Below are 14,284 nucleotides of genomic sequence, written 5' to 3' on the forward strand. Positions count from 1 at the left end.
AGCTATTATCTTAACTATTTGTATTGCAAACATTTATTATGTACTTATATATAATAACTATGTATTATGTCAGTTATTCATGTTAGCACTCTCTTTCCCAATTAGTTGTTAACTTTTTGATGGTGGAAAGTATTTTACTTACGTTTGAATTCCATTACTAGCATTTGGTAGATATCCAAAATATTTGTGGAAGGCATAATTGAATAAAGCAGCACTTCCAAAAGTTACACACATTTAAGTCATGAGAGAAAAGTAGAGGGAAGGTACCAAGACCTAGGGAATCAGGATCTGCTTTCTGCTGGCAATGACACTGAGGAAAGGTGACAGGATTACAATGTGGGAGAAAGAGATTCCCGTGCCCCACACCATCACCCCATTGTCCCTTTTTCTCTCCATGGAAGATTTGGGTTGGTACACATGGCCTTGAGCAGGTCACATGATTTCACCTCTTTGGTGGTGGAACTGAAGGGGCAGTCAGACTCAATTCCTGTGCATTCCCAAATCAGTTCTTACACCTCAGTTCAACTCTTATGAGATTTTTCTTTGAATTTTGAAGGCTTTCCAAGTTTAGGAATTCCCTATTGGCCTGTGAATGTGCAGGAGAGGAGTGACACCTTTAAACATGAATTAATAACTCATTAATTAAGGTAATCATTCATTTGGTTAACAAACTTTCCTTTTGTTAACACTTTAGTATAGAATTTCTGAGAGTAAGATCAAGAGGCCAAGGTACCCTTGGGGAATATAGCAAAAGGAAAAGAGAACAGAGAAGGCATTTTATGGATTTCAAAAATTTGTTTATACTTAGTCCTGACTTTTGAATAGAAGACTTAGATGCAATTCATCATGGCATTATTTCATTTGTTTTTAATTAAAGAAGGCTCACTCAGTATCTATTGTATAAACATAGCCCTGATGGAATAACTGTACAATTACTGTCTTTCTCAGGTCCACAGAGTACTGTACAATGACAAATATCTGAAATTCACCCTTCATCTAAGCAATGTAATCCATGTCAGGTCACCCACAATTTTAAGTCAGTTCTCAGAAAAGTTATTTAAAAACAAATCTGAAGTATACACAATAATGGTGATGAAAATAAACATTAAGCAAAGGAAGAAATGATAAACATAACCTTTAGACCACACAACTTCCTAGGATGTCAGCTATTTCAGGAACTGAAATGATGCATTTATCATATGTTCATCTGTTCAATATATAATTATTTTAACTATTATGTGTGCTGTTTATAACCCATTATCTTGCAATAACAGCTTGCATGGATCACTGCATAATTTAAAAATATAATAGCTTTTCTTGCCAATATTTGATTTCCAACTCTAAATCTGCTGACTTTAACTATGTCTATGCCATGTACTCTGGGTAAACTGGTTTTTATTTCCTAAGGATTTATCTTAGAATACACACCTGGGTTTTCTTTTACAAAAAGCTAGTTTTGTTTGGCTCTGGTTCATGTGGTGGCTTGTTTTCTGAAATGGAATAAATTGGCTTCTGTACATGCAAATCAACTAAATGGGCAGGATCACAAACCTGAGACATTCATATAGGTGAAGTGGGTGGGAATGGGGCTCTTGTCTAATTAGCTAGATAATGTGGTCAATAAAACCCAAAAATCAGATTAGTCAGTCTCAAATTACTCAAATTACTTTGATCATATTAATCATATAATTGTCTTTGTTGCCCAGATGCCTATCATTATAGGTAAACAATATGTTATTTATGGATGGTTTATCTATGAAGATGAACAATGGATTCCACATGGGTTGAATTCATGTCTTGCTCTAGTTAGTCTGGTTGAGTGAGATATTATATTTAAAGAAATATTTATTTATTTAGTCACCAAGATTTATTGAGCCCCTACTATATGCAGGAAGAGAGCTAGGTACTAAGTGAATAAAATGAATTTAACAGTTCTTGTTTCCAAGAAATGCAATGCGTACTGGAGAGGTAGACACATAGAAATGTATTTATAGTACAATGATAAAAATGCAATGGTGAAGATATACACAGTGTAGTTTTGGATAAATGAGGAAAGGAGAAATGTGTGTGTGTGTGTGTGTGTGTGTGTGTGTGTGTGTGTGCTATTTGCAAAAGCTTTCTGGAAAATGTGATGCCTGAGCTGAGCTGTTGGGTTTAGTCCAACATAGAAGAAGAGGGAGTGGCAGAAAGGGCATTCTTAGCAGAGGAAAAAAGATGGACAGCAGCACAAGTAGACACTGAGGAAAAGGCACAATGTCTCATCCTGTGATTTTGGAGAAAGAGAATGGGCATGAAAAAAGTTTGCTAAATGGGTTGTTGGAAATTGAAGGTGTTCACACCTACTAAGTTCAATTTTCTTTCTTTCTTTTTTTTTTTGAGACAGAGTCTTGCTCTGTCACCCAGGCTGGAGTGCAGTGGCGGATCTCAGCTCACTGCAAACTCCGCCTCCCAGGTTCAAGCGATTCTCCTGCCTCAGCATCCGGAGTAGCTGGGACTAGAGGCGCCCGCCACCACGCCCGGCTAATTTTTTGTGTTTTCAGTAGAGACAGGGTTTCACCGTGTTAGCCAGGATGGTCTCGATCTCCTGACCTTGTGATCTGCCTGCCTCGGCCTCCCAAAGTGCTGGGATTACAGGCGTGAGCCACCGCGCCTGGCCAATTTTCTCACATAAGTTGGCAGTAAGTTGAGAATGAAGGTAGTAAAGTTTGAATTGTGGCCCAGTGAAATAATAAATTGCCGAGGGGAATGGAAGAGATGAGTAGACACAAGTAAAAGGATTGAGAGGTGGCCCTAGGAGCCTAGCTACTGTTGGACACCGTGGATTTGCCATGAGGTGGAACTGCAAGGATGGATGATTTTTTGAGATACATCCTTGCCTGGGCATCGGGAAAGAGAAGGCACACTATAGTACTGACACAGCATTAGACTTTTCTTATGTGGGTGTAGCAGAAAATGAGGTGAAAAGGAATTAAGGGTATTCCTGAAAAGGTAGTATTCTAGACGGTTTTGAAAAGAAAGAGAAGCCAATAGGAGGTAGATAGATAAATAAAATGGAGGGAACATAAAGCCAGGGATCTCCATGAAGCAACAGAAAAATATAGTATGGAGAAATTTGACACTATATAGTTGTGGTAGGCAGAATTCTGAGATGAACCTCTGTGACCTATGCCCTTTGTAATTCCCTCCCCTTGAGTGTGAGTGGGACCTGAGAATATGGTGGGTGTCATTCTATTGATTATGGCAAAGGGAAAGGAATGTTTTGCGATGCAATTAGGTATCTGTAATCAATTGACTTTGACTTAATAAAAAGTACGATTATCCTGCAGGGGAGGGCTGACCTAATCAAAATAGTTCTTTAATAAAAAGGGATTTAGAAAACAGAGATTTGCTCTCTTCTGGTCTTAAGGGAACAAGCTGCCAATAATGTCTGCAAAAAGTGAATTCTTCCAACAACTACGTGAGCTTGGAAGAGGACCTTGAACCTAGAATGAGACTGCAGCAGCCCCAGCCAACACCCTTCTCAGCTTCGTGGACCCTGAGCAGAGAACACAGCAAATTTGTCCAGACTTCTCATCTACAGAAACTGAGATAATAAATGATTGTTGTTTTAACATCCCTAGTTTGTGTGTGTGTGTGTGTTTTTGTTTTGTTTTGTTTTGTTTTTTGTTTTTGTTTTTGAGACAGGCTCTCTTGTTCTCTCTCTGTCACCTAGGCTGGAGTGCAGTGGCGAGATCATGGCTGTTTGCAACCTCTGCCTCCCGGGTTCAAGTGATCCTCCCACCCTCTTGAGTAGCTAGGACCACAGGCATGCACTACTATGCCCAGCTAATTTTTTTTGTTTGTTTTTTTATTTTTTGTAGAGAGGGGGTTTCACCATGTTGCTCAGGCTGGTCTAGAACTCCTGAACTCAAGTGATCTGACCACCTCAGTCTCCCAAAGCGCTGGGATTACAGGCCTGAGCTACTGCACCTAGCCAGTTCGTGGTAAGTTTTTATGCAGCAATAGGAAACTATTATGCTGGTAAAGCTAAAAATGCATACAAGCAGCAGTCCTACTTCTAGGTGTATGGTCTCAAGCTGGGTTGTTGTTACAGATTGAATAATTGTGTACCCCCACATTTATATGTTGAAGCCATAACCCCCAATGTGATGGTACTAGCAGGTGAGGTCTTTAGATGAAAATTAGGCTTAGATGAGGTCATGAGGTAGAGTCCCCATGGTGGGATGAGTGTCCTTGTAAGAAGAGACATACAGCAGTGCTGCTTCTCTTTATTATGTGAGAATACAATGGAAAGATAACCATCTACAAGCCAAGAAGAGGGCCCTCACTGGAACTTGACCATGATGGCACTTTGATCATGGACTTTTTAGCCTCCAGAACTATGAGAAATAAATGCCTTTTGTTTAAGCCACCCAGTCTAAAGGATTTTGTTATAGCAGCCCAAGCTAAGACAGCTGTTCATTATGGTAGCTGGAGGTGGCTGTTGAGCACTTGAAATGTGGCTAGTCAGAACTGAGATGTACCATAAGTGTAAAAGACACAGTGGATTAAAAAGACTTATGAAAAAAAGTACAATTGCTCATTAATAATTTGAATATTGATGACATTATGAAATGCTAATATTTTGGATATACTGGGTTAAATAAAATAAGTTATTAAAATTAATTCCACCTGTCTTTTACTTTCAATGTGGCTACTAAAAACTCTAATATATATGCAACTCACATTATCTTTTTATTGGACAATGCAACAGTGCTTCTCTAGAGCAAATCTTGGATTTGTGCATGAGAGCCTATTACTTAAATGTTCAATTTAAGTAATTAAGTAATGAAGCATTGTGTGAATGTGCAGGAAAAAAAAAAGAGGCAGCCAAAATATCCATGCAGAAGGGATTGGACAAGTACACTGATGTGTATTCAATGCATAAGTTGTTCCCTCTACTTGGATCTTTCATCTTCTTAATATTTGCATGCTTTGCTCCCTATTTTCTTTCAGAGATTTATTCAAGTTCCATGTTATCTGTGAGAAGTTTTATAATATAGCAATGCCCATTTCCCTCTTAAGGGCATTGTATGGTATGCCCTTCCCTCTTCTGAGCTTTGTTTTTTCAATGATCCTTGTCTGATTTCCCTGACTAGAGTATAAGTTTCATGAGAGTGAGGACTTTTCTTTGCTCCTGATTGCATTCTTGGTGTCTAAAAGAGTGTCTGCCACATACTAGGTATTCAGTAAATACTTTTGGAATGGATTAATTATAGAATACTAGATTTTAGTGAAAAATGAATGAACTGGATAAATAATATGTACCAACTTAGATATAATTCAAACCTTGAGATAATTGCGAAAGCACACTGTTAAAGAAATAGATACAGACACAAATACACACACACACACACACACACACGGTCTCACAAAACATGTATATCCTCACTTCCCTCCATAAATATGTATATATATATGTGTAAAATGATATTCATCTAAGTAAATTAAACATGTGTGCACCTGTGTACACATACATACACACATATATCACAGACTGTATAAAAGCAAATTCTTTAATCAATGTGGGGTAGAACCAGGACATTAGTAGTTGAATGGGAAAACAAGAATAATTGACATGAGTCCCTGATGCTATTTTATAAATATCAATGTTATTTAGAATCATATAAACTAAGAAGAGTTTGGCAGAAACCTTCATCTGAGGCCAACACTCCCTTGCAACATTTCTTGTTGGAGACTGTTCACCCAGCCACTGATTGACTATTTCAGGAATAGGTGTCTTAGTGCTTTAGTTATTGCTGTGGTTCAAAGGCTTTTGTCTCCTTGAAAATTCATGTAGAAACTTAATCTCCAATGCCACAGTATTAAGAGGTGGGGCCTTTAGGAAAGGATTAAGTCATGAGGCTGGAGCCTTAATGAATGGCGTTAGGAATCTTATAAAGGGGCTGGAGGGAATTAGCTAGGCCCTTTTTGCCATTTTGCTTTTCCACCATGTGGAAACACAGCAAGAAAGCCCTCGCCAGAGACTGGATGCTATTACCTTTATCTGGGACTTCTCAGCCTCCAGAACTGTAAGAAATAAATTTCTGGCTGGGCACGTGGCTTACGCCTGTAATCTCAGCACTTTAGGAGCTGAGGTGGGCAGATCATGAAGTCAAGAGCTGGAGATTATCCTGGCCAACATGGTGAAACCCCATCTCTATTAAAAATACAAAAATTAGCCAGGCGTGGTGGCGCACGCCTGTAGTCCCAGCTGCTCGGAGGCTGAGGCAGGAGAATCGCTTGAAACTGGGAGGCAGAGATTGCAGTGAACCAAGATCGCACCACTGCACTCCAGCTTGGTGACAGAGTGAGACTCTGTCTCTAAAATAAAATAAAATAAAAATAAATAAATAAATAAATAAATTTCTGTTCTTTATAAATTAGCCAGTCTCAGGTGCTGTGCTATTATAATGCAAACAAACTAAGATGTTTATATATAAGACAAAACCTATGTAATTGGTAAAAATATAAACGATGAACCTTTAGAAACTAATCTATTTTATCCATCCAGAGTTGTACAGGGAATTGAGGGAAGGACCTAAAAACCCACTCTTCCTTAGGTCTAAATATCCTAAATGTGAGGGGCTGCTGGGATTTATGGCTTTCTTTTACACAGTGAAGACTAGCTAGGGATGCTGAAGAATGAGGGGTCAGAATGCAGCTAACTTTCAAGAGGTGCAGAATGAGAAATAGAAATGGAAATTTTTTCTGAAGAGTAGAAATTTGATTGAGGTTGCTGCCAGACCCAATGTCATCTAATTAAACTAAGAAACAGCTTGTCCTGGCAATCGAGATCAAATGGCATGCATTAATGGGAAGTGTTACTCAGTGAAGACACAGTAGGATAAAAATATGTCAGAGCTTACGTTTCACCAGGGACTTTTTTATTTTCAATACTGTAATTTTTTACCCAGATCCCATACAAAATCAGCCAACCAACCAACCAAACAAACAAAAACCCCACTCCATAGTGACCTACTAAGTAAAAATCCAAACAAATATTAAGCACAGGTAGGTGCCTAAATGAATAATTTTATTTTTTACTCTTTGATTTTTAAAAGCTTGAATTCAAATATTAGGTTTATATATTCAAATGTATAATCTCCATTTCATCAAAATAGAACCATAAATTACATTTTTCATAGCAAAGCAGTGGCAGAAAACTGCCCATATTTCATATACCTCTCAGTGACATCCCATAAGCACTGATATTTAGAAATAATTTTTCATTCTTATGCAGTAAATTTATTTTGGAGCAGATCAATTAGGAACTATTTATATAGTTTAAAATTGAGTATTAGTTTAGCAAAATGTGTTAAGAATTTGCTAGAATTTAACTTTCTGGCTTCAGTTCAATAAGCATCTTTTAAAATGCCTGCCGTGTACAGGCACGGTGCTCTGAGGACACAAAGATAAATTGACTTTCTGTCCCACAGAAAGATCTTACGGTGCTGAGTGAAGCATGTTAAGTGCTAACATAAAGATATATCAGAGCTACGGAGTTGAAAGCAGGATACACCCTCCAGCAGAGGTTCAGGAAAGGCTTTCTAGAGAAAAGAAATTCTAAGAGTTGGTCTAAGTGAAAAATGGGAGGTAGGGCTTTGCAGGCAGGCTGAAAGGTATATGACAAAAAGGGTGTTATTAGGCAGGTTTAGTCAGGAAAACAAAAAGCCATCTGTCTCCACTCTGTATGGAACTGGATGGTGGACACAGGAAGCTATGAGCAAGTTTGTGTTCGTAAAGGGTAGAATACCTACTGCACATTTATGTATATCACTTTGCTTATATGTGGACAATAGTTACAAAAGGGCTGAGATTAAAGATACAGAGCCTAGTTGGAGGCTATTTTAACAGTCCAGGTGAAAAATGATGAGGGCAGTGGGCAAAGAAGGTTGAGAAAAAATATCTCTGACAGACAGTTGACAGGACTTAATCAGATGAGTGTACTGAGGGGATGAGGTCTTAGATAACCTGTAGAGCTATGGTTTGAGTGGCAGGCTCCATCGTACTGTAATGCTTTCACTCAGGTACTAGTAAAATGGGTATCAGGACACCAGAGTGGGAGACAGACACCCTCAGTGTTCCCAATACATAAGTATAAAGGAAGTGTTCTCCAGAGATGGTTCTAGATCTTGTGGGCCCAACTACGAAATCAAGCATACATAAAAGAGGTCACGAGAGTGGTAGAGGTGATTGCTGAAGAGACTTCTCTGGGGACAGCTGTTGTCTCTCTGTGTGTCCACACTGCCCAGTCTTGTCTTTGGGATGCCACTTTCTAACACCACTCCTGGTGAATAGAGCTTCCAGGGGGTCACTCAAGAGAAGTCTGAAATAGGTTCACTGCAGCTGAAGACGCAGAAGACCAGTGACTGATATAAATGTGAGAAAGGCAAAGTGGACTACAGACTGTGATGTGACTCCCGAGTGACAAAAGAGTGCTAACCAGAGTTGACCAATTGGTTTTTTGGCTGACAGGGAGAAGTTGGTTGCATTGGGATTAGAGACAACCCCAGAATTTCCAGGAAAGGAATAAGTGAGTGTTTCCTGTGCACCAGATTTAAATCCAGCATACTTTGTGGGAATGTCCTGGGTTATAGTCAATGGGACTGTCTAAAGGGGTCAGGAGGCTTCAGCAGAGAGAGCATGAGGTGTACTGCTGGATGTCAAGAGGCTGAGGAAACAGTGCAAGCTTCCACTGAAATAGGAATCCATCACCCAATGAGTAAAAGAAACTTCAGAAGAGACGGTCAAACAGGAACTCATAGAGTCAAAAGGAAATGCTTCAAGAAAAAGAATTAGCTTCAGAAATCTCCCAGGCCTACCAGGGACACCATCTTAAACTGTCTGCTAAGCCCAGAAAGCACAGAGCAGCCCAGCCCAGCGAGATCTGTCCTGTTTATTTTTGAGCCTAGTAGAAGGCACAACAGCCACAGGAGTTGGGAGGAAGTAAACAGGGAAAGGAGAAAGAGGAGAAGGCATTCATCCCCCCTCCGTCATGTCACTAGTCTTCCAGAAGGATCAGTCTCAGAGAGGGGAGGTATTTGATGTTAAATCAACTTGGACTTTTGATTAATATCTTAGACTGGATATTCTAATCATGAAGTTGAGGCTGTGCTTTAACATAAGGAAGCTCTAGGACTGTCATTACCTTAAGTCAACAAAAAAGTCATGAGATTTGCCCAGATCATTCTACTGAATAATTTTAAGTAGGAGGGGAGATTAAAAATAGAATTGGCTTTGCTGTTTCAGTAGTTGTGTTTGTTTGATATACCAGTTGCATTGTCGTTATCTGACAGTGGAGCTATTTTAACAATAATAGATTTAACAGGCAAAAAAATAATATATCCTGATGGAGAATTTGTTGATATGGAGGTAGCAGCAGAATCACCAAGTGGAAATTTCCAGAAGGGAGGTGACTGGATGAATTTAAACTTAGGGGAAAAGTTAGGGTTGTACTCAAATAAACACTTGCATATTTCTCTTGAATAAATCTGTTTCCCTTTCAGCTCTTTATGAATGGTGATCACTTCTAAACCAAGACATCTGCAATTCTGTCCACATTAATCTTTGTTGGTTTACCTGCTTCAATCATACCTATACATAGCTACCAAGATAAACTATCTGAAACTTCGTTTTGTCTCTGCCTCAAAAACAGTGGCTTTTTTTTTATATCAATTATCAGTCAAATTTGAATTTTAGCAGACAACTTCCAATTGTCTTTCCACATTTACTTAAACATATTTTTCACTGCTTCCACATAGGATCACTCCATCTGGGCCCAACAGGATTCCTTATGCTTCATTTATACATTTGCCATTCATTATACTGGAATGCCCTTTCAACCAAATTCTACTCTAAAACTCAATTCAGGCACCTTGAATGTGGGTTTTAGGGAAGCCAGGGTGTCTTTAAGGCCACTGAGATTATAGACAAATGTGTTTGCATTTTGGGGGACAATGGATTTATGTTTAAATCAGTTTTAATAGAAGCACTGTGACCCAGAAAATAACTAAGGACAACTGATGTAACGTAAGATCTCTGATTCCCGGTTCTGTACTCTGTTCACTGTTCTTCCCAGCACCCCTGATTAGAAACCTTCTTCTTTCCAGATGCTTCAGTGCTTGCTGCTACCACAGCTGCTCCACTGATTGTCCTATATCCAGCTGGAACCTAATCTGGACACAGCGTAATTCTTGGCTTCCTCGGCCCCTACATTCAGCTACCATTTCCCAGACTGACCTGAGAAGCAGCTTGCTATGGTATTCTGGTAGCTCATGCTGTAGTTCAAATGTTTGTTTACCCCTAAAATTCATGTGCTGAAATTCTAACCCTCAAGACAATGGTAATAGGAGGTGGGGGCTTTGGGAGGTGAATGGATGGCACTAGTGCCCTTATAAAAGAGGCCCTTGAGAGATTCCTTGCCCCTTTCACCATGTGAGGACAAAGTGCAAGACAGCTGTCTATGAACTAGGAAGCCAGCCTTCACCAGACAACGGATTCTGCTAGCACCTTGATAGTGGACTTCCCAGCCTGCAGAACTATGACTAGTAAGTTTCTGCTGTTATTTGACACCTGGTTTATGGTATTTTGTCACAGCAGCCCAAACGAACCAAGAAACTCAGCCTTGGTTGAGGTGAATTTTTGCCTAATGTCTTTTCACCTTTCTTGAACAATCATGTGTGTGGTCTATGATTGAAAGTCCTCATTTCCTGGCTTCGTTGCAGTTGGCCTACTGCATGCTGCATGCCTGTCTCCATGGAACTTTCGGTTTTCCACCACTAGGTACTGTCTTCCATTTTGCAAACAACTGCTACTTTATCCTAGACTCCAATAATAATAATGATGACTCCAATAATAATAATGATGACACCAATAACAGTAATAAGAAACATGCAGTGCTTATAATATGTTTGGCAATATACTTAATGTTTCCTAGGTGTTGCCTTATTTTTCCTGACCACTACCTTACATGGTAGACATTTTTTTTTTAAATAAAGGAAAGAGGTTTAATTGACTCACTCACAGTTCTGCATGGCTGGGGAGGCCTCAGGAAACTTACAATCATGGCGGAAGGGGAAGTAGGTATGTCTTACATGGCAGCAGGAGAGAGAGGAGAAAGCGAAAGGGGAAGAGCCCCTTCTAAAACCGTCAGATCTCTTGAGAACTCAGTCACTATCACAAGAACAGCATGGGGGAAACGCCCCCATGATCCAATCACCTCCCTCCTTCAACACTTGGAGATTATGGGTACCCCACTCCACACGTGAGGATATGAATTCGAGATGAGATTTGAGTGGGGACACAAAGCCAAACCATATCAGTTGTACAAAGAGGTGGCAAAATAACAATTACCCGTAAAGTGCAATACAGAAACAAAAGGCTACTTTGTGATGTTAGAATATTAAAAACATAATCCTCACATAAATATGTCAAAGAAACATAAATATTTATGCATGAGAAAACAAGCAGGTAAAACTAGTTCAAAGGAGGATACAGTGGACTGAATTATACATGTACATTTTTTCTGTAAGTTCATTTCAAGAAAAGGTGTTAATCTAACTGCAATCTTACTCCAATAGACTTCCTTTTCTTGAAAATGGAAAACTGTTTTTCATTTTTTAACAGAACCTTTCATTTGATGGTAGCTATCCTTCATTAAACAATCACTACATGACAAATATTTTGCTAGGCTATACATATAAAATATGTAATCCCTACAAACTTATGGTGTGGGCATTTTATTACCCATGTTATAGAAGGAGGAACTGAGAAACAAGCTAAATGACTTGACTAAGTTCACACTGACAGCAAAGTGTGATGAAATCTCAGAATCTGTGTTCCCAGCACCAGAGTTAAATAGGTTGGTCTTTCCCTAAATCCCTGCCTCACTCTCCTATCGAAACCTATGGCCCTGGTGGACAGGTCTAGTCCAGCTCCTGACTCTGTCTTATTGAATTGTTTCTGGATATGATTTTTATGAACACAGTGTGTCCTGAAGCACTGCACATGCTTATAGATTGTGTGTGTTCTTCGGTTCCTTTGCTAATTCATTCATTAATTCATTCATCAATTCATTCACTTGTTTGGCATGTATTTATTGGGTGCTTATTCTATGTCCAGCATTGTGCAAGAACTAGGGAATTGAGACTGAAAACGCATAGCTTGGAGATAGACGTGGAAACAAACACAATAGCATACCCACAGTTGTAATGGAGGTACAAAGCCTACATCTGTGAGTCAGGGTCCTGCAGATAGGAGCTAGTGCTTGAGTTGAGACGTAAAGCATGACCCAGAGGAGCACGGCATTGCAATCAGAGTTAAAATAATTTGGTAGGAGCATATTGCATATTCAAGGGAGCCACAGTAGGTTCAGCAGGTGCTGCAGATGGAGCAGGAGATGAGAGAGCTGGCAAAGGGATCAGGAACAAGATCATGAGCCTGTATATCCTGCTGAAGAGTGTATGTTTTATCCTGAGGTATAAGAAAAAGCTTTAATGAAGCGTGTCAATCCTCTGCCATGTAGAATTTACATTACTAGGTGGCAGAAGCCACCTCTTCTACTTTTCAAGGGTGTTATCCCTTAAGATGCCAAGTTAATATTACTTATGTAGTGGAGTTCCAGTAATGCTTGTTGAGTGGGAATGTATAATCTCCTAGCATGCATTTGTTTAGCAAATGCTCGGAGAGCTAACATAGTAACATACTCTATCATGTTTCATATGTTCTTTAACTCTTCCCCTTTATCTAGTCAGCCCCATACACTGAAAGGCAGTGAGCTGGAAACATGTGTCTGAAAAGCTTACTGATTCCCAACAGTGTGTGGAGTTATCAGAAATTACCGCACATGCAACAACCTCTGCTCAGGAAGTTTACCTCCTGTGATGAATTTGGTCTTCACCCCATAAATTCAATCTGCTGACTTGCTTCTTTTCATTTTTTTTTTTCTGACTCTAGTTTTGGAACTTCTTTACAAAGTGAGAATAACTTAAAAAAAAAAAAGAAGCAGCGGGGGAAATTTGGGGACCAAGTTCCTTATTTCATGTTTCCTAATGAAACCTGATACTTGCAAAATTTTGTTCAGTTATGCACTCATCTGAAAAAACACGTGCACTTTCTCTTTTGCATGTTTTAGGTTGTCTCAGAATTTCCTCAGTGCCAGTCCTCCAGCAGGCTGAGGCATTGCTTCTGGTTACCCCATTCCATCTTCTCTGTAGGTACCTACACCCTGCCAAAGGTAGCATATGACATCCTGACTCAGGAGACAAAAGAGGATGAGCACAATGTTGACAATGGTTTCTGATTCATTCCCCCCTCCCTTCCTGTAACCCCTAACTGTGGAGATTAAAAATGAGAGATTTGCTTCTTTGGAGTGAATGAATATAAAATGCCTTCTTATTTTCAGTGTGGTCCCTCATCTTGGAGCTCATTATTTCTTTAAATATGCCTAAATGTGGCTTGGTAATTTCACCTTCTTATGCGACTTAAGTACAAGTGATAAGGTGTCTTGGGGGCTCTTGAGTGTTTGATCCCAAGCTTTCATGTCACTTCTGCCTCTCCTTGAACTTCTAGGAGATAAAAGAAAACCAGCTGTTTTCTTGTTAAAGATCAAGGTAATCAGGATGGCGATTCAGGACACAACCATGATCACTGCAGGGAAAAGGAGGTGGTGTGATGTTTTTCTATTAGGCACAGTGTGTCAGAGTTATGTAGCTGTCAGAAAAGGTATTTTGTTTCATGCCTATTTGTGATGTCTTTGTTGTTGTTGTTGTTGTTGCCAGTTTGAAATTCCTGGTATCATCTTCAGTAAACTGAATGAGGCTATTCTTAGTGGTGCCTTCCAATGGCAAGAGAATAGTATTTCAGATGCTTACTAGGTTTCTGAACTATTCTTCACAAGCATTTGCCTAATTCTTTATCCTTACAGTCATGCTGTGGGGTAGATGATACTATACCCATCTTATAGATAAGAAAACTGAGAGACAAGAAGTGTAAGTAACTTGCTGATATGGTTTTGGTGTGTCCCCACCCAAATCTCATCTCGAATTGTAGCTCCCACAATTCCCATGTGTTGTGGGAGGGACCCAGTAGCAGGTAATTGAATCATGGAGGCAAGTCTTCCCATGCTGTTCTCGTGATAGCGAATAAGTCTCATGAAATCTGATGGTTTTATAAATGGGATTTTCCCTGCACAAGTTTTCTCTTGCCTGCCACCATGTAGACATGCCTTTCACTTTCCGCCATG

At 39.5% G+C, this 14,284-nt stretch overlaps 1 protein-coding gene and 1 long non-coding RNA gene across 14 annotated transcripts in view, besides 1 other annotated feature; one reads left to right on the plus strand and one right to left on the minus strand.

Annotated features, from left to right (window-relative positions):
• The window catches only part of GRIK1-AS2 (GRIK1 antisense RNA 2), a 34,708-nt gene extending 31,093 nt beyond the window's left edge, over window positions 1-3,615 (plus strand). The window contains exon 3 of the long non-coding RNA NR_033368.1: window positions 3,407-3,615. This is a non-coding gene — a long non-coding RNA (GRIK1 antisense RNA 2). The remainder of the gene's footprint in view (window positions 1-3,406) is intronic.
• The window catches only part of GRIK1 (glutamate ionotropic receptor kainate type subunit 1), a 403,064-nt gene that overhangs the window by 90,200 nt on the left and 298,580 nt on the right, over window positions 1-14,284 (minus strand). The window lies entirely within an intron of this gene.
• Window positions 12,700-12,779: an enhancer, noted in NCBI's record as "active region_18349". NCBI's record gives its function as "activates an Ori minimal core promoter by ATAC-STARR-seq in GM12878 lymphoblastoid cells {active_cell/tissue: GM12878}" and the evidence as "EXISTENCE:reporter gene assay evidence [ECO:0000049][PMID:35858748]".

This window comes from Homo sapiens, chromosome 21, assembly GCF_000001405.40.
Source record: "Homo sapiens chromosome 21, GRCh38.p14 Primary Assembly".
Lineage (NCBI taxonomy): Eukaryota > Metazoa > Chordata > Mammalia > Primates > Hominidae > Homo > Homo sapiens.